The sequence below is a fragment of the Homo sapiens genome, chromosome 13 (genome assembly GCF_000001405.40).
Source record: "Homo sapiens chromosome 13, GRCh38.p14 Primary Assembly".
Classification (NCBI taxonomy): domain Eukaryota; kingdom Metazoa; phylum Chordata; class Mammalia; order Primates; family Hominidae; genus Homo; species Homo sapiens.
The window spans coordinates 23,504,885-23,532,769 of record NC_000013.11 but is presented as its reverse complement, the minus strand read 5'-3'; the positions used below and the strand labels follow the sequence as shown (position 1 = coordinate 23,532,769).

The 27,885-nt window shown below is 44.0% G+C and overlaps 1 long non-coding RNA gene across 2 annotated transcripts, besides 2 other annotated features; it reads right to left on the bottom strand.

The window, feature by feature from the left end:
* Window positions 1–252: 252 nt before the first annotated feature.
* Window positions 253–27,516, bottom strand: LOC124903135 (uncharacterized). 2 transcript variants are annotated; one of them, XR_007063720.1, is made up of 3 exons: window positions 27,316–27,516; window positions 7,421–11,099; window positions 253–1,631 (listed from the first exon to the last, which is right to left on the bottom strand). It is a non-coding gene; the product is annotated as an uncharacterized LOC124903135 (long non-coding RNA). The 2 variants fall into 2 exon arrangements; XR_007063721.1 differs by lacking the exons at window positions 253–1,631; window positions 7,421–11,099 and adding an exon at window positions 16,529–16,696.
* Window positions 5,859–6,454: an enhancer, noted in NCBI's record as "OCT4-NANOG hESC enhancer chr13:24100455-24101050 (GRCh37/hg19 assembly coordinates)". NCBI's record gives its function as "activates a minimal SCP1, AML or CMV promoter by ChIP-STARR-seq in naive H9 embryonic stem cells {active_cell/tissue: H9 hESC(naive)}" and the evidence as "EXISTENCE:reporter gene assay evidence [ECO:0000049][PMID:30033119]".
* Window positions 24,407–24,934: an enhancer, noted in NCBI's record as "NANOG hESC enhancer chr13:24081975-24082502 (GRCh37/hg19 assembly coordinates)". NCBI's record gives its function as "activates a minimal SCP1, AML or CMV promoter by ChIP-STARR-seq in primed H9 embryonic stem cells {active_cell/tissue: H9 hESC(primed)}" and the evidence as "EXISTENCE:reporter gene assay evidence [ECO:0000049][PMID:30033119]".
* Window positions 27,517–27,885: the final 369 nt, after the last annotated feature.

Sequence of the window (27,885 nt, the reverse complement as noted above, 5' to 3'; positions counted from 1 at the left end):
GGTGGGTCCAGAGTTTGTTCCTTCTGATGTTCGGACTTGTTCGGAGTTTCTTCCTTCTGGTGGGTTCGTGGTCTCGCTGGCTTCAGGAGTGAAGCTGCAGACCTTCGTGGTGAGTGTTACAGCTCTTGAGGTGGCGCGTCTGGAGTTGTTCATTCCTCCCGGTGGGTTCATGGTCTCGCTGGCCTCAGGAGTGAAGCTGCAGACCTTTGCAGTGAGTGTTACAGCTCATAAAGGCAATGTGGAACCAAAGAGTGAGCAGCATCAAGATTTATTGCAAAGAGCAAAAGAACAAAGCTTCCACAGCGTGGAAGGGGACCCCAATGGGTTGCCACTGCTGGCTCCAGCAGCCTGCTTTCATTCCCTTATCTGACCCCACCCACTTCCTGCTGATTGGCCCATTTTACAGAGAGCTGATTGGTCTGCTTTGGCAGCATGCTGATTGGTGAATTTACTATCCCTGAGCTAGACACAGAGTGCTGATTGGTGTATTTACAATCCTCTAGCTAGACGTAAAAGTTCTCCAAGTCCCCACTAGATTAGCAAGGCACAGAGCACTGATTGGTGTATTTACAAACCTTAAGCTAGACACAGAGTGCTGATTGGTGCGTCTACAAACCTTGAGCTAGACACAGGGTGCTGATTGGTGCGTTTACAAACCTTGAGCTAGATACAGAGTGCTGATTGGTGTATTTACAATCCTCTAGCTAGACATAAAAGTTCTCCAAGTCCCTACTAGATTAGCTAGACACAGAGCACTGATTGGTGCATTTACAAACCTTGAGCTAGCCACAGTGTGCTGACTGGTGCATTTACAAACCTTGAGCTAGCCACAAAGTGCTGATTGGCACATTTACAAACCTTTAGTTAGACATAAAAGTTCTCCAAGTCCCCACCTGACTCAGGAGCCCAGCTGGCTTCGCCTAGTGGATCCCGCTCCAGGGCCACGTGAGGAGTTGCCCGACCATCCCATGCTGCGTGCCCACACTCCTTTGCCATTGTGTAGTCGATGGGACCAGGCTCCGTGGAGCAGGGGGGGTTAGGGCATGGCGGGCTGCAGGTCCCAAGCCCTGCCCCGCAGGGAGGCGGCTGAGGCCCGGCAAGAATTTGAGCATGGCACAGGTGGGCCAACAGTGCTGGGGGACCCGGTGCACCCTCCACAGCTGAGCCCACGCCCACCCGGAACTCGTGCTGGCCCCAGTTCCTGCCCATGCCTCTCCCTCCACACCTCCCCACAAACAGAGGGAGCCGGCTCTGGCCTCAGCCAGCCCAAAGAGGGGCCCCCACAGTGCAGTGGTGGGCTGAAGGGCTCCTTGAGCATGGCCAGAGTGGACGCCGAGGCTGAGGAGGCACTGAGAGTGAGCGAGGGCTGCTAGCACATTGTCACCTCTCAATCCCCCCTCTAAACTGGACACTCCAACTGCTGTTGGGAATTTGGCCGATGACTGCTCTAGCTACTTCCTGCTGGATAGGGGTGATGAAGGGGCCCTGCAGTTGTAGTGTCCTCCAGAGGGGAACTCTTTAGGCCAGTGGAAGGGCCAGCAGGTCAGTCCAGGTGTCCTCGGTAGAAGTTGTTAGTTGAACTCATTTGGGGTTCCATTTGTAAGACCATCTGTAGCTTGATGGCCTCGATTCTAGAGGAAACAAATTTGACAAGAAGGTTAAAAATACAGGGCCCAAAGGCAAGTAACAGCAAGATGGCTGCCACAGGACCTAGAAAGGGGAGGGAGAAGCCATGTGGCCCAACTCCAGAGGTTGGTATAAGAGTTTGAAAGACGTTGCCTGATTTCAGAAGCCTTTTCCTGTAAACACCGGGTGGCATCTCACACTATCCATGACTGGTTAGTGTAAAAACAACAGTCTTCCCCTAAGAAGGTGCAGAGTCCTCCTTTCTCAGCAGTGAGGAGGTCTAGGCCTCGGTGGTTTTGGAGAGTCACTGCTGTCAAAGAGTCTATTTGGGATTGTAGAGTAAGGATAGATTTCGTTATTTCTTGCAAACTGTCTGAAAAATCCTTTGAGAGTGTCTGGTAGTAGGATAATGAAGTAGATAAACTGGCTATTCCGGTTCCTGTAGCAGTAACTATTCCTAACCCTGTAAGTAGTGGTATCAGTTGTATGGCTCTGCACTGACAGACTTGAGTTTTGAGGGGTACTGATAGGCTCTGATTTCCTGGGGCAATGTTAATGTTGGGACTTAGAAAGACTAAGGTGCAGGTGCCTATCCAGTTAGTGGGGAGGCAGATGTAGGTCCACATTCCACATAGGAAGAATATACCTTGGCTGGGTAGACAGAACTTTACCCTGGCTTTTAAAGGAATAGGATACACTGTTTTTTCTTTACTACTTCTATCTCTGTCTTTGACTTCTTCGTCTCTCTCTTTCTGACTGCCTCTGTCTGTCTCTTCCTCTCTCTGTCTCCTTCTCTTTGACTTCCTGTCTTTCTCTTTCTCTCTTTGTCTCTCTATCTCTTCCTCTCTGACTTCTTGTCTCTTTCTGTCTTTCATTTCTTCTGCCTCTGCCATATGCTTATGCTGCTGTTCTCCCTTCTCCTTCCCCTTTTGATGGCTTTGGCAGTGTAAGACTGCCACCTTCTTCGGTTTTTGCACTATGTACAGTAACTCCATGATTTCCTTGTGGCATTTAATGGGGGTTCCCCGAGGTTGGGAACTCCCTTTCTTTCCATATTGCAGCATGGGCATGTAGGATTACATAAGCATACTTGCTATCTGTATACACATTTATTCTTTTTCCCTTTCCCAGTACTAAGGCTCGGGTAAGTGCCACTAGTTCTGCTAACTGGGCACTTGTCCCTGGGGGAAGAGGCTTACTTTCAAGTACAGTTACATCACTAACTATGGTGTAACCTGCCCTTCGTATCCCATTCTTCACAAATGAACTTCCATTGGTATATAGGTTAAGGTCAGGATTAGCTAAGGGGACTTCTAAGAGACCATCTCGGGTGGCATAAGTCTGGACTATAATTTGTTGGCAGCCATGCTCAATTGGTTCCCCATCCTCTGGGAGAAAAGTGGCAGGGTTGAGGGCCACGCACATGCATATTTGAAGCACCAGTCTCTCAAGAAGTAGTGCCTGGTATCTAAGTAGGTGGTTGTCTGATAGCCATAAACTTCCTTTGGCACCTAGTGTGCCATTTACATCATGAGTAGTCCAGACAGTGAGATCTTTTCCTTGTAGTATCTTGATAGCCTCTGACACTAAGATGGCCACCACCACAGTGAGGCCAGCCTTTTGATACTACATCAATTTCCTTACTTATGTATACCTGCCACTGGTTGTGTGGTTGTCCCACGAGTCTGAGTAAGGACTCCAAGAGCTATCCCTGCTCTCTCTGTGACGTATAAAGAGAAGTTTTGTCCTGTCAGAAGGCTTAAAACTGGAGCTTGTGCGAGGGCCTGCTTTAAGGTTTTGAAGGCTGTTTCTGCCTCTGGTTCCCATTCTACTAGATGAATATTTGCCCTCTGGGTTTCCTTGATTAGAGTATAGAGGGGCCTGGCTATCTCGCTGTATCTGGGGATCCATGGTCAGCAAAAGCCAGTAATTCCAAGGAACCCCCGCAACTGTTTTAATGTCTTAGGGCAAGGATAAGCCAGTATAGGCTGTATTCATTCCTTGCTGAGGGCCCTGGTCCCTCTGGCTAAGATTAGGTCTAGATATTTGACCTGCTGTAGGCAAAGCTGGGTCTTCGACCTAGACCCCTCTATCCTTGATTAGCTAGAAAGTTCAAGAGATCTAAAGTAGCCTGCTGGCATGAGGCTTCTGAAATGGTAGCCAAAAGTAAATCATCCACATACTGAAGGACCAGAGTGCCTGGACTTTAGAAGTGGCCTAGATCTTGGGCCGTGCCTCACCAAACAGATGAGGGCTATCCCTAAACCCTTGGGGCAAGATCATCCAAGTAAGTTGTGATGTGTGGTCTGTGGGATCCTCAAAGGCAAAGAGAAACTGGGAGTCAGAGTGCAGGGGAAGACAGAAGGCAGCATCCTTAAGGTCCAGAACTGTGAACCATCCTGCTTCTTCTGGTATTTGAGAGAGCAGGGTATAGGGGTTGGGTACAACTGGATATAGAGGAATTACTGCCTCATTGATGAGTCTAAGATCTTGCACTAATCTCCACTGACCATTCGGCTTTTGTACTCCTAGAATTGGGGTGTTGCAAAGACTGCTGCATTTCCTTACTAAGCTTGAGCTTTTAAATGTTTAACAATATCATGTAAACCTTTATGAGCTTCAGGCCTTAAGGGATATTGCCTTTGATAAGGAAAAGTGGCGGGATCTTTTAACCTGATTTGGACTGGGCAGGCATTTTTTTGCCCTTCCAAATTGTCCTTCCAATGCCCAGACGTCAGGGTTGATTCCCTCCTCAAGTAGAGGACAACAAATGGGTAACTTCTTCCCCATATTCATGTAGATAATAGCTCCAGCCTTGGCTAATATATCTCTCCCTAATAAGGGTGTGGGACTTTCAGGCATAACAAGAAAGGCATGTGAAAAGAGCAAAGTCTCCCAATTACAACTGAGGAGGTGGAAGAAATCCCTGGTTACAGGCTGTCCCAGGATTCCTCGGATGGTAACGGACCTTGAGGACAGTCGTCCAGAACAGGAGATTAACACTGAGAAGGCCACACCAGTGTCCAGGAGGAAGTCAATTTCCTGGCCCTCAATGGTTAAGCATACCTGGGGTTCAGTGAGGGTGATGACATGAGCTGGCGCTTGCCCCGGGCACCCTCAGTCCTGTTGTCGGATCATCTGGTTGGGGGCTTCTGACCCAGAGAACATTTGTCCTCTGGGGCAGTGTACCTTCCAGTGATTGCCTCGGCATAGTGGACATGGATGAGGGGACAGCTTGTGTCTCATTGGACAATCTTTTTTTAAAGTGTCCTAATAAACCACACTGATAATAAGCCCTACTGGGTGGTGATTGGCCTGCTCCATTTTCTGTCCTCTCTGAGCCACCAAGGTTTGTTTGTCTGAGGGCCATGATTAAGGCTGCAGCCTTTCTCTGATCTCGCTTTTCCTTTTGGGCCTGTTCCTCTTGGTCCCTATTATACAACACCAAGGTTACCAGGTTTAATAATGCCTCCAAATTTTTTTCAGGGCCCAGGGCTTGCTTTTGGAACTTTCTCCTGATATCTGTGGCTGATTGGGTAATAAACTTATCTTTTAGAATCAATTGACCCTCGAGTGATTCAGGTGACAGGGGAGTATATTTTCTTAAGGCCTCCCATAGTCACTCGAGGAAGGCAGAAGGATTTTCTTCCTTTCCCTGAGTTATGGTGGACATCATTGAATAATTCATGGGCTTTTTAATAATTCTCCTTAGTCCTTCTAGAACACAGGTCAAAAGATGTTTACAACTCCAGTCCTCATGATCTGAGTCAAGGTCCCAGTGGGGATCCATACTGGGGATGGCTTGCTGACCGGTAGGGAATTTATCCCTTTCTTTGGTTGTCATTCTATCATTTACTTGACTAAGATACCACGTATCTCCAAACTCTCAGGCTGCAGCTAAAGCTTCATTCTTTTCATTAAGGCCAGGGTTTGATCTAACAGTAGCATGACATCTCTCCAAGCGAGGTCGAAGGTTTGCCCTAGACCCTGTAGGACATCTAGGTACCTATCAGGATCATCTGAAAACTTTGCCAGGTCTGCCTTGATCTGCTTTAAGTCAGAGAGGGAGAAGGGGACATGTACCTGGGTTGGGCCAAATTCCCCTCCCCCTACAGCTTGAAGGGGACATAACCGATAGCCCGGGGGGGGGTTTGTGGTGCTTTGGATATTTCTTTGCTTATTTCCTTCTGGGCAGGGGAGATTAGAAGAGGATTATCATTAATAGGAAGGGGAGCTATAGGGAGGCTAGGATATGGGGGTAAGCTGAGAGGTCCTCCTGTGGGATGTAACTTGCAAGCTTTGCATAGTTGTGTATTCTCCCTCAATGAAAAGAAAGCTTGGACATAAGGTATTTCACTCCATTTGCCTTCCCTCTTACAGAAAAGATCAAGCTTCAGGATAGTATTGTAATTTGTACTTCCCTCAGGTGGTCATTTTTCCCCATCAGAGAGGGTATATTGGGGCCAAGCCATAGTGCAGAAAAAAATGAGCTTCAGGGTTTGTGGGTCAAATTGATCCCAATGGCTTAGGATGCATTTCAAGGGTGAGCCTGTTGATGCCTGAGTGTTTCCCATCTGAAAGACAAAACTGCCTGCGGTTTTGGTTTGTTTTGTTTCTCCCCCTGCCCAAGAACCCGCAACGGTCCCTGGACCCTGCTGATCAGAATAGTTGTGCTCACGGACACAGCAGCAGAAACAACCCTTACCCAAGAACCCGCAAAGGTCCCTGGACCCTGCTAATCGGAATAGTTGCGCTCACCGACGCAGCAGCAGAAACACTAGTTTTCCTCCCAGACCACATGAAGGACCAAGGAAGGTCGGATTTAGTGGCCCTTACTGATGCATTCTCAAAAACCTAAACCCTTGCCTGTCCTCCTGGACCACAAGGGGGACCGAGAAAAATCGGATTTAGTGGCCCTTACCGACACATTCTCGAAAACCTGTTAGAGTCCTAAGCATTCCCCTGTTAGTAATGGGACCTTACCCATGTCCTATAAAGATGTCATGCCCCAAAAATGAAGTGGAGGGCCATACCCTGAGGGAGGGAAGGGATCTCCAGGGTTGGAAGAGTGACACCTTTTATCCTCACTTATATGAATAGGAAGGATAAAATTTCTGTGGCTCCCCATATCCTAGCTTCAGGAATAGCTTTTGTTAGGCTTGCTAGTCTGAGGAGGGATCCTAAAATTCCAGGTAGTCCCCCATACGACAGGGCTTTGGGCAAAAATTATGTCTTTCTGATTGGTCAGCCTGGGTGCCTAAAGAACATAACAGAGTCCTGGAGTTTATACTAGAAATCATTCTTATAGGGGAAACTAGAAAACCACCAGAGACAGGGAGCAATTTTTAGAAGTGGGACTAGCCTCGGAGAAGAGAGGTGAGAGGAAGTTTGTCTGGCAGGCATTAGGACCCAGGGGGCAAGGGTCAGGATAGATAGGATAGATGGGCGAGTCTCGCTTGGGCGACATGCCTTTGAGAGTTCCACTCATGGCCACAGGATCAACCAACTTGTTGTTGGGACCCCGGAGCTGCAAGGCTTTCCTCTCTGTTGACCCTCGACTCAGCCCAGAAGTACAGGAAAAGCGGAAGCTGGTTCCAGGCAAACCAACGCTCCCAATTCCGAAGAGTCGGGGGTTGTTAGAAAGCCCTTTACCAGAAAGCTTGACACCCGTTTCTTTAGTCCAGCGGCCATGCTAGTCGCTTTTAACTGGCCGACAGGTGCCCGGTATTTAGCCCCCAAATTCTAAGGAAAAATACGACAGAATAGCAAGCAAAAGGGGTCTGATGGTACTCACTGCTTGGCGATAGGTGACAGTCTCACCACTCAGTGATAGGCAATGGTCTCACGACTTGGTGATAGGCGATAGTCCCATCTGGGTCGCCAAAAAGCGTCCGGAATTGGTGGGTTCTTGGTCTCACTGACTTCAAGAATGAAGCTGTGGACTCTCGTGGGGAGTGTTACAGTTCTTAAAGGTGGTGGGTCCAGCGCTTGTTCCTTCTGATGTTCAGATGTGTTCTGAGTTTCTTCCTTCTGGTGGGTTCGTGGTCTCGCTGGCTTCAGGAGTGAAGTTGCAGACCTTCGCGGTGAGTGTTACAGCTCATAAAGGCAGTGTGGACCCAAAGAGTTAGCAGCAGCAAGATTTATTGCAAAGAGCGAAAGAACAGAGCTTCTACAGTGTGGAAGGGCACCCCAGCGGGTTGCCACTGCTGGCTTGGGCAGCCTGCTTTTATTCCTTTATCTGACCCCACCCACATCCTGCTGATTGGCCCATTTTACAGAGAACTGATTGGTCCGTTTTACAGAGAGCTGATTGGTCTGTTTTGACAGGGTGCTGATTGGTGCATTTACAATCCCTGAACTAGACACAGAGTGCTGATTGGTGTATTTACAATCCTCTAGCTAGATGTAAAAGTTCTCCAAGTCCCCACTAGATTAGCTAGACACAGAGCACTGATTGGTGCATTTACAAACCTTGAGCTAGACACAGGGTGCTGATTGGTGCATTTACAAACCTTGAGCTAGACACAAAGTGCTAATTGGTGCATTTACAAACCTTTAGCTAGACATAAAAGTTCTCCAAGTCCCCACCTGACTCAGGAGCCCAGCTGGCTTCGCCTAGTGGATCCCACATCGGGGCCATGGGCAGAGCTGCCTGCCAGTCCCACGCCACACGCCCACACTTGAGGAGGTGCTGAGAGTGAGTGAGGGCTGCTAGCACATTGTCACCTCTCACTATGTGTCCCTGTATAGTGAACAAAATAACCTGTTCCCATCAATCCCCTAGTAAATTTCTTTCTTCTCCTATATCATTGTTCAGAATTGGGTAATCTCCCTACCCTTAAACCAATCACTGGCAAAGGTGAATGGGATTCTCACGATGTTTTAGAGCAGTTCTGGTTAACCACATGGACCTGGGGAAGAGCCCACCTTTCCTGAGCACATTGTGAGATACCTGAACAAGTCGGGTTCTTTGTCAGGAAGGTGAGGGAATAATTATTGAGTAGGCAAGAACCAGTGTCTGCAATGAATATCAAGACTATTGCATTGTTCCTTTAAAGAGTCTCTCATATGTGAGCTTAGCCAAGGATATAATAGGATAGCGTTCTCCAGATACCACCAATAAAGCTTTATTGGAAGTGACGATACCATTGGGCCTGAAAATGTGTGCATCTCTTGAAGTGGAACATTTAAAAGGCAATGTGCTGATTAATTTGCTAATTCTTTTCTAGTCAATGAAACAGCACTCCCTTTCCTCACCATCATTTTTGTTTCATGAGTCTCTTCAGGTAGAATTCTTCCTTAACTTACACTTTATGATCTCAACTTTATTGAGTCTTCTAAGAAATTAAGAAAACTCATTTATTTTTCAAATTTTTTGGAGAATAAACATAGTAGCATCTTGACCTTAAGGAAATTTCATTATATTGGCTGACTTATAAGGTTTAAACAGGGGGAATAAGGCTAGAAGTGTAGGCTAGACCTGCAACACGAAGGCTATGTATAACTTCTCTCTCTCTCTCTCTCTCTCTCTCGCTCTCTCTCTCTCTCTCTCTGTGTATGCGTGTATAACTATAATTTTTAGAAGTTCAGATTAAAGTTAAAGTTTACAGGAAAATTCTGAAGATATTAAAGAGAGTTTGCATATACCTCATACCAAGTTAAGAGAGTTTCCATAAACCCCACACCCAGTTTCCTTTATTATTAACATCCTACATTAGTGCTGTGGTTTAAATGTGTTTCCCCAGAGTCCTCCCCAGTTCATATGTTCAAATCCTAAGCCCCAAGGTAATGCTATCAGAAGGTGGGGGCTTTGGTAGGTGATTAGGTCTTGGGATCAGAGCACTCATGAGTGGAATTAGAAATTCTTGTCCCTTCCACCATGGGAAGACACAGTGAGAAGGAGCCATGTTTGGACCAGGAGATGGACCTTCACCAGACACCAAATCTGGCAGTGCCTTGGTCTTAGACTTCCCAGCATCCAGAACTGTGAGAAATAAATTTCTGTTGTGTATAAGCCACTCAGTCCATGGTATTTTGTTATTGCAGCCTGAACAGACTAAGGCAATTAGCGTAGTGGATTTGTCACAATTAATGAATCAATATCAACACATTGTTATTCACTGAAGTCCACACTATCTAGATTTTCTTAGTTTTTACCTGATGTCCATTTTCTGTTCCAGGATTCTGTTCAAACTTCCACATGACACTTAGTTTTCATTGTCTCCTGAGGCTCCTCTTGACTGTGACAGTTTCTCAGACTTTCCTTTTTTTGAGGACCCTGATAATTTTGAGGAGTGCTGGTCACAATTGGGGTCTGTCTGATGCTTTTTTCATGATTTAACTGGGGCTATGGGTTTTGTGGAGGAAGACCACAGGGGTGAAGAGCCATTCTCATCACATCATATCAAGGCCACATGCTGTCAATGTAACTTGTAACTGCTGATGTTGACCTAGATCCCCTGCAGAGGTGGTGTAAGGGTACTTTTCTCCACTGTAAAGGTACTCCATCCCCCCACCCTTTCCATAGTGTACTCTTTGGGAGGACACTTCCGGTTCTTTTTGCTATTGGTTAAATGATCTATTAACTTGAGTGAGAATAGGAATCATATTAGTGTCAGGGCCTCTCATACCAGGCTTTTTTTGTCAAAAGTCCTGCTAGTATGACATTCCCTCTTTATTTCTTATGTGGTACCCAAGTCCCAAATAAGCTTTCCCAGCTCTACTGCATGAGCAAGGCCAGCACTTTGAGGACACTTGCTGAGAGACTGCACTTTATCAAAAATACTGTTCTCGGAGCCATTAGGTCAGCACCTTCCCTTTCTTCAGGAGCACACCTTGGGCAGGTTCTATAGAACAGGGTATGAATGGCGCCCCTGGAGTTAAGGTTGGAGATGGTTTTCTTTCTTTTTTTTTTTTTTTTCTGAGACCAGTCTCGCTCCCTAACCAGGCTGGAGTGCAGTGGCGCAATCTCGGCTCACTGCAACCTCCACCTCCCGGGTTCAAGCAATTCTCCTGCCTCAGCCTCCTGAGTAGCTGGGATTACAGGTGCGTGCCACCATGCCCAGCTAATTCTTGTATTATTAGTAGAGATGGGGTTTCACCATGTTGGTCAGGCTGGTCTCGATTTCATGACCTTGTGATCTGCCAGCCTTGGCCTCCCAAAGTGCTGGGATTACAGTCATGAGCCACCGTGCCTGGCCCATTGGAGATGGTTTTCTAAAGGAAACTAGTAACGTGGACATGCGCTGTCAGCATGAGGGTCCATTTCCTTCCCCACATAGTCATGGACATTGTGGAAAAGCAAAGGCAGCTTGGTCCTGAGGCAACAAGATCCATGCAGGAACCATGGAAGACGACAGGCAAAAAGTGACGGGAAGTCCAGCAAGCCAGGAGGGACCCCAAGCAGGCCACTTGTGCTTTCCTAAAAGCCAGAGGCATATGGAAGCCAGAAACATTTCAGAAATAGGTTTGTTCTAAAAAAAAAAAAATGAGAGACAGGAATATAAATATATTGTAAAAGAGAAGCCCACAGAGATTTGATAATAACAGTGAATGTTTTTTGTTTTTTCTTTTCTTTTTTTTTTTTTTTTTTTTTTTTGAGACAGAGTCTTGCTCTGTCACCCAGGTCGGAGTGCAGTGGCACGATCTCTGCTCACTGCAAGCTCCACCTCCTGGGTTCATGCCATTCTCCTGCCTCAGCCTCCCAAGTAGCTGGGACCACAGGCACCCACCACCATGCCTGGCTAATTTTTTGTATTTTTAGTAGAGATGGGGTTTCACCGTTTTAGCCAGGATGGAAGTGAATGTTTATTGAATGCTCATTATGTACCAGGCAGTGATCCATGGTTTACATGGTTTAACTCACAGGTTATTTGTATCAGAACTACCTGAAGGACTTCTGATTTAGTGGGTCTGGATGGAGCCAGAGAATATGCATTTCTAATAGGGCCTGGGATGATGCTGTTACTTCTGGTTTGGGGACCATGTTGAGAATCACTGGTTTAACTAACGTAATTCTGAAAAATACCTATGAGGGGGATACTGTTATTATCAGCATTTTACACACAAGGAAACAGACGTGGAGGATTAAGTTGGAAACATACTCCCCATACACACTCACACAAATGAAGTGGGAAGGCTGGATTTAAACCCGGGCATTCCAACTCTGGTTTCCGGATTTTAAACACCACACCATACAGTGTCATATATAATTAGTTCCATCAGAGAAATCTTGTCCACCTAAGATAGGACCCTGACAGACTTATTGCCATCTAATATGTTTTTTTTCTTTCCTTTTTTTGTTTGAGACAGAGTCTTGCTCAGTTGCCCAGGCTGGACTGCAATGGCACGATCTCGGCTCACTGCAACTTCTGCCTCCCATGTTCAAGCAATTCTCCTACCTCAGCCTCCCCAGTAGCTGGGATTACAGGTGCCTGCCACCATGCCTGGTTAATTTTTGTATTTTTTAGTAGAGGCGGGGTTTCACCATGTTGGTCAGGCTGGTCTCGAACTCCTGACCTCAGGTGATCCACCCACCTCGGCCTCCCAGAGTGCTGGGTTTACAGGTGTGAGTGACCATGCCCAGCCATCTAATATCTTTTTAAAGATACTACTCCCAAAGGCAGAAAACATTTGACAGTTAGTGAAATAAACTATATTGGCAAATCTTGGTTATTTAAAAAAACAGTCATTGTGATAATTGTCTTTCAAAACAGTTAAGTTAGATACTAAAAAAAGGTAGATGGGAACCAAATGGTTGGTGAACCTTACAAAGCCCTCCAATTTTTCTGGAATTTCAAGGTTGAACCTTGAATGTGGATTATTGTTTGCACTGCATTTGAATGCTTTTAAAATCTATTTATGGTTTTCTGTCCTTGCTTCCTGCTGGGTTGGGCAGGTCAAAAAGTGTTATATAAATACAACAGGAAACATTTCCAAGTTAAATTTCATTATTATGGAGTCTAAAATCTAAGGCACAGTGGGCACGTAGAACTCATCTCAGATCTAACGATGGCTGCGGTTCCTAATGGAAATGACATGCAATATACTATATGTGGCTATCAGCACTTTAAGGCCTTAAAGCTAGAGTAAAGATAACATTAATCCATAGCCAAGTCAGTTCAGGAAATGAAGAGGAAAAACAAATCCAGATCAGAATGTCTAATGTTGGGTGGGTCTTCAGTACACCCTCTACAAGCCTCCTTGTCCTAAACTCTTGTCAAAGGGAAGAGCAACCTATGAAGAGGTTCATGTAGGTGCAATCATGAATTTAAAATGTCCCTGATAGCTTGTAATCGTTTCACAGCATCAGCTGCTGGTGATGAAAAAATGGAAATCATCATCTTCTGTCCCTTTGTTTTTTTTTTTCCTATTTCAAAAAACTGGATAAATTCCCCTAGCTGTGTAATTTAGAGTCTGATATGTGGTGTCAGGAAACTAACCTTCAGGTCCAGTCTGGACCAGGGCTTGCCAATCTCGCACTCCTGACATTTTGGGACAATAATTCTTCATTGTGGGGGGAATGTCCTGTGCACTGTAGGATGTCTGGCAACACCTGTGGCCTGGACCCACTAGGCAAAAGTAACAGCTGTTCCCAAACTCCAGTCATAACAATAAAAAATGTCTCCAGACATTGCAGACATCCCCTGGGGGAAAAGCATCCTCAGCTGTGAGAACCATTGATTTAAATCAATGTATCCTCTCTCTCTTAAAGTATTGCCACTAAGGATAAGGTCAAGCTTTACAGGCTTTGGAAATAATTATTAAGTAATCCCTTTGATTTTGTTTTTTTCTATCCAATCATAAGTACCTTCCCTTATCTCTGGGCCCCAGTCCTCAAATTTGGAAGGATTGTGTGAAATCCTGCACTCTAAACTCCCCGTACTTCAGATGAAGTTCGTGAAATAATATATTTGATATTAAACATATTTAATGGATAGAAAATAATGCAATAATGAATCAAAACTGTTTGAAAAGGGAAATAATGATTTATAGAAGGACTGTTGTTCTTAGTACCACTAAAAACAACAGCATTATAATTAGGTAACTGTGTAGCCATGTGCTTTCAGAAACTCACTAAACATTCATTGAAACCATGAGCATTTGATTAGTCTACACTAATCCAGTAACTCCATTTGCTAGTTTTTGCTTTACTGTGAGTGAATTGGGGCAGTTTGCTTATCTAGAAGCAGCTTAGTAAAGAATCAAATTAAAAATATTGTGAGGTGATTGAACTAAGGCAACGAAATGAGAGGGAAAATAGACAGTTATGAGAGATTTCAGGTACACATCAGAGCTTCAAAATGATGTGCGCAGCTTATTAGAGAGGATTTCTGTCTGGAGCAGGAAGGTAAATCAGTAGAAAGAGGGCGAATATACTCAGTTTGTGCACATTTTGTTTATTAACAGGAGAGGCATATTTGTGTGTTCAATGATGTATATTGATCAATATTTTAAATGAATCAACATTAATCATGTTTAGGAAGAGTAAATGACATGTTTCTGTAAGCGTTCAATTAAAAATTTCACTGTGCACTGATTCTTGCTGGCTGCAATGCTAAATACTGGGGCAAGAAGGCTTGTAGAGAACTCAGCTGCTGTAGCCAGAGAAAACTGCAGTGGTTTCACTAACTCTATCCCCAGAACTGGTGTTGTCAGGTTGTTATCTGGCAGCGCGGTATTATAACAAGTCCTTTATTTCTGGTACTTCAGGTATACTGAACGCCATTGACATGTTAAAGGATCCTATTACATCCAGGCTTCCAGTGCAACTGATTCAGCTTTACTGTTACTATTTAAGTAGACAAGAAGCTTAGCCTGCCCACAGAACTCCACAATAGGAATTATTCTATAAAGTGTTGGTATAAGGCAATGGTGTGAAGTGGGGAAGAATGGTCTTAAAAGTCACAACAGTTATGACTCTGACATTTACCAATTGTGAACTTCTCTGGATCTCAGTATCTTTTTCTAAGATAAGCATTGTCCTCACCATCATTATCATCCTTGTATTTGCTATCTCATTGGTAGACTTGAATGAGTTCAAGTGTAGGAAAGTGTTTTGCATTCTTCTAAGAACTATACAAACTCTGTTTCATAATAACAACATAATGATAACATACAGGTCACTTTTCCTTTTATTTTAAAAGTACCTACACACTAAGTTAACTTATATCATAATTTTGATTATGAAAACTCATAATTATAAGAAACCTGAGTGAATTTCTTTCTACTTTTAGGATTTTAATGTGAAAATGGCAACATGAGAAACGTATATAGTTTCCAAGGACCATCAGTTTCAGGAACTGCCTTTGCCAGCCTCCCTGTATGCCTTCACACCCAATACCCACCCCTCACAGGAACCCTGAGCACTCTCTTGCTTTGGAACCAAGGAACTGGTGCACGTGGGTGAGAAATAGTGTTGTAAGGGCAGAAGAGTTTTGCTCTGAGGAAATATGTCAAGTCAGTTTTTTTTTAAGCCTGCAAGAATATGTCTTTCTATGTGGTGGGCCAAAGCAGTGTTTCTGTCTACCGGTCTCATCCAGGTCCTTGCTCTGGGGTAGAATTATCCAAAAGGAGACAGGTGTCTCCCGGGCCACCCAAGACCAGCTCTTTGCCACCAGCAGCACAGGCTGGAGGGAAGAGGTGCTTAAAACGCAGAAGCCTGGAATTGGAATGGAATCACGTCTGCATTCTACTTGATGCATTTGTCCTGTGTTTAGTATATATTTAAATTGACTCCACTATATTCCTAGCTGCTTCTTGCATGTGTGTGGGATTTTAATCCTACTATTTTCTTTTGGCAGAATGGCCCTAGAGATTGCCTGCGATAGGTAGATTTTTTAAAACCCCACGGATTGCAAGAATGGGCACAACAGTGAAATAATCATAGAGTGTCTTAAACAAAATAATTACAAAATAAACAAATCCATACATCAAAGCGGCGGTAAAGATTAAACATTAAATGAAAGAACTGTGTGGTAAGAGAGTGCATCAGAAACCCTAGGTTGTACTTAGCTTTCATGAAATTGAGAATGATACCATTAAAGTCCTCAGCAAGATTCTTCACACTGTTTTGGCAACATGATTTAATTTCACCCCACAGCTACTAAATTACCCTTTGCTTCTTTTGAGTAGAGCAGGATTGTCCTGTACCATCTTGAAAAATTCTGAAGTAACTTTCCAGAAATTCTCAGTGAAATAAGATACTGTTTACTGGAGCTTTCCAATAAGATACTTCATAGCCTTTAGACAGCACTGCCTTTGAAATGAAACCAGTACGAATGTTTCCAAGAGATGAAGACTGTGATTGCAAACAGCTCATTGAATGTGTGTCTGTGATGTCAGTCTAGTCTGTCATTTGGAGATAATGGACTAAAAGAAAAGACAAACGTATCTCAGTTTTTAGATGTTTTTTCACTTGTGATGCATGCTCTCCAGACACATACACACAATCAAGCACTCACTTTCATGTTGCACTATGATAAATACATAAAACCTCCTCCACAAAGTCTTAGCCTTGCTATCATTATATCAATTTTATCCATGAGAAAACCAAGTCTAAAAGGGGGAACAACTTGCCCTAGGTACGCAGTAAGAGCTCAGTGGAGGAATAACACTCAGACATCCTTACCAGTCAAAGGCTCTCTGGAAGGCAAGACTAACCTTACTGAACAGATTCAGCCAAGAATCCTTCCACTGTGAACCTCTATTGTATTTGCGGTCTCTGGAGGCTCTTATCTTGGTTTCCCAGCAGGCAACAGCCAAAACAAAATCACTTCAGGATCTGAATCTCCCTGGACCTCCTTAAGACTTCAAAAGACACTAATGAATGCTAATGATTATGACCTTAACTGATTAAATCCAGTCACAGCTATGTAATACCCTACAGGTATTATAGTGAGGCTTTTAGGGAGACAGCAGCTTTTATTTTTCCTCTGCCCGTTGAGCTTTCTTAAACCAGTAAGTGGAACTAACCCATGCTGTTCTGAGTGAGTAGGTTCCGATACGCGCATTTGGTGTAGGGGGTCTTCTCAAGACGACCGTTCATCATAGTCCAGGAAGTCAAGAAGACCTGGCAAGAGAATTTAATTTCTATGTGTTGTACCTCTGTTTCCTCAACACCCAACTCATTGCTAGATCTCTAGGCACTTAACACCATTTCAGATATCTGCTCTCTCAACCTCCTCCTTCCTCACTGGAGGTTATAAACTGGCTTCCCTCCAGGTCAGGTAGGATCTGTTAGACCCACGTAGCCTTGGGCACACTATTTTTATTTTTTAAAACTTGAGTTAGTTGCTAAGATTTAATATTACATACATATCTGCATTCTGGCTTTCTCTGAAAACTCAGAAGCTTGGGGATACCGAGCAAACATTGTCTTGGCACCGAGTCCTGGCTGATCCCTCAGATGTAGCCAGGATCCTTCCTTCCCCTGTGAAATCTCGCCCTGCTGGCCCCAGGCATGCCCCCGCCCACGGGTGTGCATGTATTTCCCATCTCTGCCCTCGCAGCACAAGACACCAATGCCCTCTCCTTTTGGAAACCTCCTTTGGTTTGTCTGACATAGGGGCTCCACTCTCTAGTGGCCTCACTATTCTCTATCTGTCTGTGCCCTCCAGCAATGACATTTTCCTCTTTCTGCCATCCTTTAAATGCAGGAGTCCTCCGAAGGGGAAATCTATCCTTGATCTTCTCTTCCTTCTCTCTCTCCACTCTCCCTTGAAATCTCATATATCTTCACGATTTAAATTCACAATGCTCTGGAAATGATGTTTATATCCATTTGTCAATTCAACCAAATATCACTGAGCATAAATGCAAGGGTGAAAACAAAACACCCTTTCTTTCCTTAAGGAGCTCAGTGATACAGATATGTAAACAAACACAGTGCAATTTGATAAATGCTAGGGATAGTGGCACAACTCAATTGACTCCACACAAGGGGCAGCCTCTGAGCTGTGTTTTGAAGACTGAGTAGAAATTCACCATGGGAATAATGATAAACCTTACAGAATTTAGTTTCTCCTGTTTTAGGAAGCATTTCACACTGCCTGCTGTACATCTTTACTTGGACATTCCACTGGCGATAAAATTAAACACACCTAAATCTGATCTTCTATCTTCTTAACCACCCCCACCCCCACAATATTCCCACTCCAAACACCAGTTGTTTTCTTGGGCTTTCTTGTCGGCTACTGGCACCCCTATTCTCCCAGTAATCTCCCTGAGAGATATCTTTGATCTTTCTCTCTGATACTCAACCAGTGGTCAAATTCTGAGATTCTTCTTTTAAATGTCTTTTTTTTTTTTTTTTTTTTTTTGAGACTCAGTCTCGCTCTGTTGTCCAGGCTGGAGTGCAGTGGCGCTATCTCAGCTCACTGCAGCCTCCACCTTCTGGGTTCAAGCAATTCTCCTGGCTCAGCCTCCCAAGTAGCTGGGACCTCAGACACCCACCACCAACTACACCCAGCTAATTTTTGTATTTTCAGTAGAGACAGGGTTTCACCATGATGGCCAGGCTGGTCTTGAACTCCTGACCTCAGGTGATCCACCGGCTTCAGCCTCCCAAAGTGCTGGGATTACAGACCTAAATGTCTTTTAAATCCACATCTTGCAAGTTTAGGTCATCAGCATGTTTTGTCCAGCAGACAGCTTCAGCAAGTGGTCCTGTGAGTGCCTGACCTCTTCAGGGTGTCTCCCCTTCTGCACACCTGTCATGCAGCCTGCCTGGAGCTGGCTCTGAAAATGCCGACCCTTTGCTCTAAATGCTTTACATGTATTCACTTATTTAATCCTCACACTACTCCAAGTTGGCAGGGTTGTTATTATCCTCCCAGAACTGGTCCAAGTCTACACACCCAGTGGGTACAGGGCCAGGATCCCGGCCCAGAGAGTCTGACCGTGGAGGCCACCCACTTGCTGAGTAGCCTATGTTTGCAGGCCATGTTCTTGCTCAAAACTCAGTACAACCCCCCTTTGCCTCCAAACACCGTCTCAGTTTGTTAGAGCCTTGAAGGTTCTAATAACTTGGCCCTCAGCTAGCTCTTTCTTTTATGTCTTGGTTTCTTTTTCTTGTAGAGTTTATCCTGAGGATTTAGCGTTAACGCATCAGACACATAAAATACGGTGCTTAGTGCTTAGAAGGGGCACTGTTGGCTTTCCTTCTCATACCCAACCCTTGTCAAATTCTGAAGCATCTACTTTCAATGTCTCTTGAATCCACACCTACCTTTTCAGTTGGGTGGCTTTTGGTATTATTTCTCTCTGTTCTGCCTCACCAGGGGTAGGTTTTGGTAAAAAGTTAATTGCAGCTTCCCCACATGCTGGGGCCTCCCTTCTACTCTGACTGGCCATGCTGTGCTAGACTGGAATCTCCTCTTCATCCATTTGGACTGATGTAAATGCCCTCACCCTCACATGCCACAGATCTCGTCCTCTTTTCTGATTCTATTTCTGTTCTCTAGCCCTACAGTCAGCCAGAACAATCTCTCCCTCCTCTGTATTTCTAGACAGCTTTCTTTATGCTGCTGAGACTGTCTTACCTCATTCGGCATTTTAGTGGAACAGTTGGCTGTGCTCTTAATTGTTTCCCTTTCTAGATAATAAACTCCCCCAAGGCTAAGAGCATTGCTTGTTCATTCTTTTCTTCCTGCAGCTAAGTTCGGTGAATAGTATTTGGTTTATACTTCAACATTTACTGAATAATGTGGATACGAAAAAATGATATGTGGTCTTGATATCACCTGGATCATTCATTTGATAAACTTAATGCAAAATTTGAGTAGAAAAATTAGGCACCAATAGAATTAGTAAGGAAAAGGATAACATATATATCATATCAAACATTTATATTCTTGGTTTTTTTTTTTTTTTTTGAGACAGGGTCTCGTTGTGTCACCCAGGCTGGAGTGCGTTGGCAGAATCATAGCTCACTGCAGCCTCCTCCTGGGCTCAAGACATCCTCCCACCTCAGGCACTTGAGTAGCTAAGACAACATATCTATACCACCATGCCAAGCTAATTTTTAAAAACTTTTTGTAAAACATTTACATTCTTAAATATGACATTAAAATATATTACGAAGGAAATACTTCCTAAGGTATGTCATCTACAAATGTGATGAGAATCAATTGCATGATGTGTGTCAATATAAAATATGCTCTCTAATACAAGTTTACGGGATTACATATAAAATCTATATTCACCCTGTAGGTGAATTTAGGAACTGCACTAACAGAGCATATAGATTGTGTGTTTGGTGAGAATTAGGTTGGAGAAAGTAACTTTTGGGGATGAAATTGAGCTGCCTTCCCTGCTCTGTGAAAGGTAAATGATAGAAATGCAAAGGAGTGTTCGAACCGTAACTAAATAAGGTGGGGGTTAGTCTCAGAGCCTAGGAACCTGAGGGGCTGGGGCAGGAAGACTGTTCAGGTTCCCAGTGTAGCTCCTGCACAGCCTCAATGGTGAGCACAGAGGAAAGGCGGAGGGCGGGTTGGGCTAGGCTGGACTGCAGATGCAGAGAAGAGAAGGGAGCTGTGGGGGTGGCCACAGAGACTCAGTGTAGGCTTTGAAGCTGAAGGGGAAGATCCTGGAAGTGGTCCCAGGGCAAAGAGATCACTTAAGGGCTATCCAGTTTACCCAAAGACATCTTTGACCATCATAGAAGGGTGACGAGTGAGAGACAATTTGTCTGTTCTCCTACTGGAGTCTGAGAACTTAGACCTCTGGTGCTCTAAGTTGAAGGGAAGAAGATCACAGTCAGCTGTCTCTGTGATGGGGAGCAGAATGTCCAGTCCTTCCAGGATCATTTTTTCATTTGTAAAGTCAGAGTGATTTTAAAGCAAGTTGTGGGCATGTATTGGTGGCAGGTGAGGGGGGACGGTCTTTCCTGGTCAGCAGGCTGTGAGAGTGGTGTTCTCTGCAGCAAAGGAGGATCATGGCATTGAAGATCATCTTCAACCTATGGGTTCTCTAGAATCTGAATACTGGAGCCTGTGACCTGGGATTGATTTAGGGTTTATGAATTGGCATAGGAAGTGGGAGAAGCATTGGGAGGCAGAAAACCTGGATTTGAATCCTGGCACTACCCCTTTGTAGCTGTTTTACCAAAGTTTGTGAAAGTCCTTGGCACACTGCCTGGCACAGAGACTAAGGATTGAATATGGGTATCGTTGATTCTTTCTTCTCTGGTGCTTACAGTGTATTAGACTTCCCCACATTCTCTCTTGTCAAGTGGCAAAAATAGATTATGCCCAGTAAATAAAGACATAAATCGAGGCACAGAAGAGTTAAGAAGTTTGACTGAGATTATATAGGAGATAATCAAGTGGATCTTAAAGTGTTCAGAATTTCTATGATCATTTTTATTTACAAAGTGGCTAACATTTTTAGTTTATTCTCTACAATATGTCTCACAGTCCAATATTTCTGTTGTTAAATAATAACAACAGTGAATTGCTTTTGACCACTTTTGATTGCACTGGATCCCATCTCTAGGATGCAGAGACTAAGGTGGAGAATGGGATTTAGGCCAGCAAACCCAGAGCCCCCACTTTAATCCTACCAGACAGAGTGAGAGGAAGAGGGTGGGGCTCATGGAGTCAAGTTACAGATAGCTGGCCTCTCTGGGGAATGGCTAATGGTCTACTGCAGGGCTGTAGTCAACTTCAGGCATCTAGGGGAAGCAGATGGAATGAGGTGAGAGCTCCGAAATAGGACATTTGGGATTGTCAAAATGGCTAACACGAATCAAGTCTTTACAACCCAGTGTGTTGGAACCATTGTGGCAGGGTGGTTGGGATGGGGAAGAGGTGGTTCATTCTGGAAGTAACATAAATTGATATTAAATAAAGAGCCTAGTCATTGCTTCTTCCAGAAGCGATGGTCATGTGTTCCATGAGTCCCCACTGAGGTGACCTATGCTTTTCTGTGAATAGTACTTCTGCAAAAAGATTTTTGCACCACCTGCTGGCAAAGAACAGTGATCTTGCTGCTCATTGAAGAAAAGTCACACGCTTAAACTGCTAGTGAGCAAGGCACAGGGAGATCAAAACTGACTTTGGTGGGAACATGTAGCTACCACTCCTGCCTGGCATCCAATTCCTTGTCACCACCTTGTTAACAAGTTTTAAATTGTGCCAGGTGATACACACAGGTGGTTTCTTTCTGAAAGTGTCATAACAATATGAGAAGATTATTCTGGATTATGTTAGTGAGAAAGAGAATATTATTTTCAGTGATTAAGAGACAGGCTATCTAGTACTCATTTCTAACATACAGACTAATCTTTTTTTGGAAAGCATGTCTAGGCTACTCTTATTTTAAAATGCTGAAGCAACATCATTTATGCATTTGTTTGTTTGCTTATTGCCAAGGAACCATTTAGATGTTCCCGATTGAGCAAGACTTCTGGAACAATCTAGGAGTTTCATGTTCTACCTTGAGAGTGTGAAGTGGCTTTCTGGGTGAGATTTCCAGAGAACACATTGAGACATTTTTATTGTGCTCATTTTGCTGCTCAGAAGGAAATTGGCTTTTCCTTTTCTCTGCAGGGATGAATAATCTGAACTCATTTAATAGGGAGTCAAACAGACTGAAGACTTTGCCCACAACAATTTCAGATTCAACCCATCTCTACCACTGTTCTTTGATACTCTATGGCAGGAAATGTGGACTGAGGAGTGAGAAACTATCAAAGCTGCAAGTGGTGCACCTGGAGTTCAGAACTGGAATATTCCTTTTCTTCCTTTCCCACACACAAACCTTATCTTGCATGAGGGAGTAGTGGTTTATGAGTAAATATGATGGAATTCAAATACTTTTCTTAAGGAAGAGTCATCCTGTTTTCTAATTCGATGCAATGCATGATTAGAACAAATTTGTTGATTCTCTGACTCTATTTTTGTGAGTTTCTTTTGATTGTTGCCGGCAATCCCCCTTCCATCCTTAGTCTCCAGTCTCTTTCATGCATTGCTACCACTCTATCCCATTCTGTTTCACTTCACTCAACACTTGTTGAATAGTTACATTGTAAAGGGTCTGTACTTGAAAGACATTAGAGGAGACACAAAAATGAAGATAGCGCTCCTACCTTCAAAGAAACTGGCCCGTACTTTGGGTGAGAGACATGCACCCAAATCTCCTTTGCACAATCATGTGTTGCTTAACGACAGGGATGCAGGCTGAGAAATGTGTCGTTAGGCGATTTCATTGTTGTGTAAACATCATAGTGTGCACTTACACAAACCTAGTTGGTAGAGCTTACTACACACCTAGGCTGTGTGGTATGGCCTCTTGCTCTTAGGCTACAAACCTGCACAGCATGTGACCCTACCAAATACTGTAGGCAGTTGTAACACAATGGTAAGCATGTGTGCGTCTAAACATGTCTAAACACAGAAAAGGTATAGTAAAAATACGGTATAAAAGATAAAAAATGGTACACCTGACCTGGTGCGGTGGCTCGCGCCTGTAATCCCAGCACTTTGGGAGCCCGAGGCAGGCAGATCACGAGGTCAGGAGATCGAGACCATCCTGGCCAACACGGTGAAACCCCGTCTCTACCAAAAATACAAAAAAATTAGCCCGGCGTGGTGGCGGGCGCCTGTAGTCCCAGCTACTCAGGAGGCTGAGGCAGGAGAATGGCGTGAACCCGGGAGGCGGAGCTTGCAGTGAGCAGAGATCACACCACTGCACTCCAGCCTGGGCAACAGAGCAAGACTCTGTCTCAAAAAAAACAAAAACAAAAAAAACAAAACAGCCGGGCGTGGTGGTGGGCCCCTATAGTCCCAGCTACTTGGGAGGCTGAGGCACAAGAATCTCTTGAACCTGGGAGGCGGAGGTTGCGGTGAGCCGAAATTGCACCACTGCACTCCAGCCTGAGCGACAGAGCGAGACTGTGTCTCAGAAAAAAAGAAAAAGAAGAAGAAGAAAATAAAAGTAGGGTATTTACCAGAAATGGAGCTTACAGGTCTCCCTCACTGCTCTGGGTGAGTTTGTGAGTGAGTGGTGAGTGAATGTGAAGGCCTAGGACAGTACTGTACACTACTGTAGACTTCAGAAACACTGTACACATAGGCTACGCTAAATTTATTTTTAAAAAGGTTTTTCATTGTTCAAAAGTAAATGAACCTTAACTTACTGTAACTTTTTCTGTTTGTTTGTTTGTTTTGTTTTGAGATGGAGTCTCGCTCTTGTCGCCCAGGCTGAAGTGCAGTTGTGCAATCTCAACTCACTGAAACCTCTGCCCCCCAGGTTCAAGTGATTCTCCTGCCTCAGCCTCCCGAGTAGCTGGGATTACAGGCGCCCGCCACTACGCCCAACTAATTTTTGTATTTTTAGTAGATACGGGGTTTCACCGTGTTGACCAGTCTGGTCTCGAACTCCTGACTGCAGGTGATCCACCCATGTCAGCCTCCCAAAGTGCTGGGATTACAGGCATGAGCCATCACATCCGGCCCAACTTACTGTAACTTTGTTACTTTATAAACTTTAAAAATGTTAAAGCTTTTTGACTCTTGCAATAACACTTCACTTAAAACAGAAACACATTGTACAGCTATACAAAAATATTTTTTCTTTATATCTTTATCCTTCAAGCATTTTTTTTATTTTTAAATCTGTTTTTAAAACTGTTTTAAAACTGTTTACTTTTTAGTTAAAGACTAAGACACATCTGTAATCTCAGCACTTTGGGAGTCCGAGGCGGGCGAATCACGAGGTCAGGAGATTGAGATCCTGGCTAACACGGTGAAATCTGTCTCTATAAAAAATACAAAAATATTAGCCGGGCATGGTGGCGGGCACCTGTAGTCCCAGCTATTCAGGAGGCTGAGGCAGGAGCATGGCGTGAACCTGGGAGGCAGAGTTTGCAGTGAGCCGAGATCGCCCCACTGCACTCCAGCCTGGGCGACAGAGCGAGACTCCATCTCAAAAAAAAAAAAAAAAAAAAAAAAGAGCAAGACACAAGCACACCCATTAGCCTAGGACTACACAGGTCAGGATCATCCATGTCACTGTTTTCCTTCTCCACAATTTGTCCCACTGGGAGGTCTTCAGGGAAACAATAGGCAGGGAGCTTCCATCCCCTGTGATAACAATGCCTTCCCCTGGAATCCCTCCTGAAGGACCTGCCTGAGGCTGTTTCACAGTTACCTTTTTTTTTGTAAGTAGAACGTGTATGCCCTAATGATAAAAAGTATAGTAATACATAACCAGTAATACAGTTGTTTATTTTCTATCAATTATTATGTACTATACATAATCGTATGTGAGATATATATATATATATATATATATATATATATATATATTTTTTTTTTTTTTTTTTTTTTTTTTTTTTTTGAGACGGAGTCTCCCACCGTCGCCTGGGCTGGAGTGCAATGGTGCGATCTGGGTTCACTGCAACCTCCGCCTCCCGGGTTCACGTGATTCTCCTGCCTCAGCCTCCTGAGTAGCTGAGATTACAGGCGCCCACCACCAAACCTAGCTAACTTTTTGTATTTTTAGTTGAGACGGTGTTTCACTATGTTGGCCAGACTGGTCTCGAACTCTTGACTTCGTGATCCCCCTGCCTTGGCCTCCAAAAGTGCCGGGATTACAGGCGTAAGCCACTGTGCCCCACCTGTATGTGCTATGTTTTTATATCAGTGGTCCTCAACCTTTTTGGCACCAGGGACCAATTTCGTGGAAGACACTTTTTCCATGGACTGGGGGGATAGGGGAGGGAATGGTTTCAGGATGAAACTGTTCCACCTCAGATCATCAGGCATTAGTTAGATTCTCATAAGGAGTGCAAAATTTAGATCCCTTGCACTCACTGTTGACAACAGGCTTCCCGCTCCTTTGAGAATCAAAAGCTGCTGCTGATCTGACAGGAGGCGGAGCCCAGGTGGTAAGGATCCCTTGCCCACCACTCGCCTCCTGCTGTGTGGCCTGCTTCCTAACAGGCCATGGACTGGTACTGGTCCATGGCCCTGGGGTAGGGGACCACTGCGTTTTTATGACTGGCAGCATAGCAGGTTGTTTTACGCCAGCATCACGAGAAACACATGAGCAACATATTGCGCTACAATGCTACGACAGCTACGATGTCACTAGGTGGTAGGAATTTTTCAGTTCCATTATAATCTTATGGGACCACTGCCATATGTACAGTCCGGCATTGACCGAAACCTCATCACAGAATGCATGACTGCACAGTGACATCATTCTCCTCAGAAAAGCACTTAATGTCATGGGAATGTGGAGGAGACGCAGATGACTTTGGCTGAGTGAATTAGAGAAGGGCCTAGAAACAGAACCAAGCAAAAATGCTGAAAAGGAAATCCATACCTTGGATTCTCATCCTTTTAAACAGACTTCCTTTCATCTATTTTTTTCCCCAATGAAATCATTTCCTCCAGACTCAAATTTTAATTCTTTCTCTCTGTTCATGTCCCTGGCTTCCCTCTCCTGAAGCCAGGCACAGCGCCTCAGCAGAGGGATAAAGGAGGCTGTGCATCAACACATCAACACTTTCTGTTAACCTCTCTTTTGACAGGTACAAAATATCCCAGTAACCTTTTGCAGAGAACAAATTAACATTTTTCATCAGCAGAAGCTGGAGCTCTTAATGATAAGCATTGTTCTAAATGTTGCCTCCCCTGGGAAGCAGACTCCAAGCCTCTGTTTGTTATTTTTAAGTGGCATCTGGAAAAACAGTTCTGATCTAATATGGAAGTCCTCGTCAATTGCCTAAGCTGTTCCACATGGAATCAAATGCATAGACTGTGTCTTGGGAGGCGGTTTCAAAGACCAAGAAATTGAATTCGTATTTGGTGACAACATCAATGTCTTCCAGGCTCCCACAACCCTTTCATTTTCCAAATAAAGCCATGAAACAGATGTGCCTAAAGCATATTGAAGAGCTGCCAGCGTAAAGCCAACCAGCCACGTTAAAAGCACAAACGGCCTCCTTCGGAGCTGTCACTCTGGCTGGTGGTTAGATCAATTGCAATTCTGCCATGAGTAAATGAACTGACACTTAGTACCTCTTAAAACAAAAGAAGTCCTGATATAAATGTGACAGTATTTTGAAATAGCTTACACAAATCTGAGCAATGCAACGTGATTGGAAAATCTCAATAGTTTTCTAACATAGAACTTAGATAATTACAGTGAACATATTTTCTCTAAAAATGTAACATTTTATATTTCTAGTCAATTGGAAATTCTTTGATCAAAGTGTTTCTTAAATGTTTTCAAGTGAAGGGAAAAATTGAGAGAAGGTATAGAAGAAAATTTTACTTCTTTCCAAAATATTTACCTTCTGAATAACTGTTATCATTAAAGAATAAATATACAGTCAGGCAATTGATAAGGGTCCATTAGCATAAAAAATGAGATTATGAGATTGCATGATCTGTTATCAATGCTTAAGGAAAGCTAATATACTTGTACAAAAGTTATATTTTGGGGTACAGTTTGGTTTAGGTAAAATAACTATCATCCAGCATTTGTTGTTCCTTCTATAAGTTTTTTTTTTAATCTAAAAGATGATTGGTAGCTCTTTTCATTTTAGACATAAAATTGTCGTTCATTTCTTGTCTGCAGAGGGGTTTGGATTTGTTGGCTCCTCGAAACACATTCCTGCTCTGTTGTTCTGCAAAAAGAAAATTTGTAAAACTGGGAACATGAGAAAGCCAGACAGACCTTTGCTCTCTTCCACGAATGTGGAGTCATAAATGAAGAAGTGAAGCATCTACCACCAGACGGTCCCACTGCTTCCAAGTGGCACACTACCTCCGAGTCAGCACGGTTTCACCCCTGGGAGTGGTTCCCCTGGGGTTCTGCCTGCAGGACATCTGACCGCTCTCCCTGTGCCCCCGCGATTTGAGGCGTCTGTCTTCAGCTCCGCACAGGTCCTCTTAGCCTATTACTCAATTAGAAAGGTATGTGCTCCCTGGCTGGCATTCTAGGATTTGTGATACTAGAATTTAAGACTTTGATGATAAACATTTGACTTCTGGTGTTTATAATTTAAACTACAAAAATTGCCTCAGAAACAATTGCAGCATGTGGCTCTTATAACACAGTAACTGTATCTATTACTCCTTAGGGGAAAACAGTTCTCTGCAGTTATTTAAACTTGAGACACAACTTGCTTCAAAAATGTAAACAATAAATTTTTTGGGTGCAATCTTCAAGCAACTTAATGAAAACTGGCATTACTTTTACTGGCAAAGCATGACAGCTCAAATGGACACTGCTTGTTATCCCAGG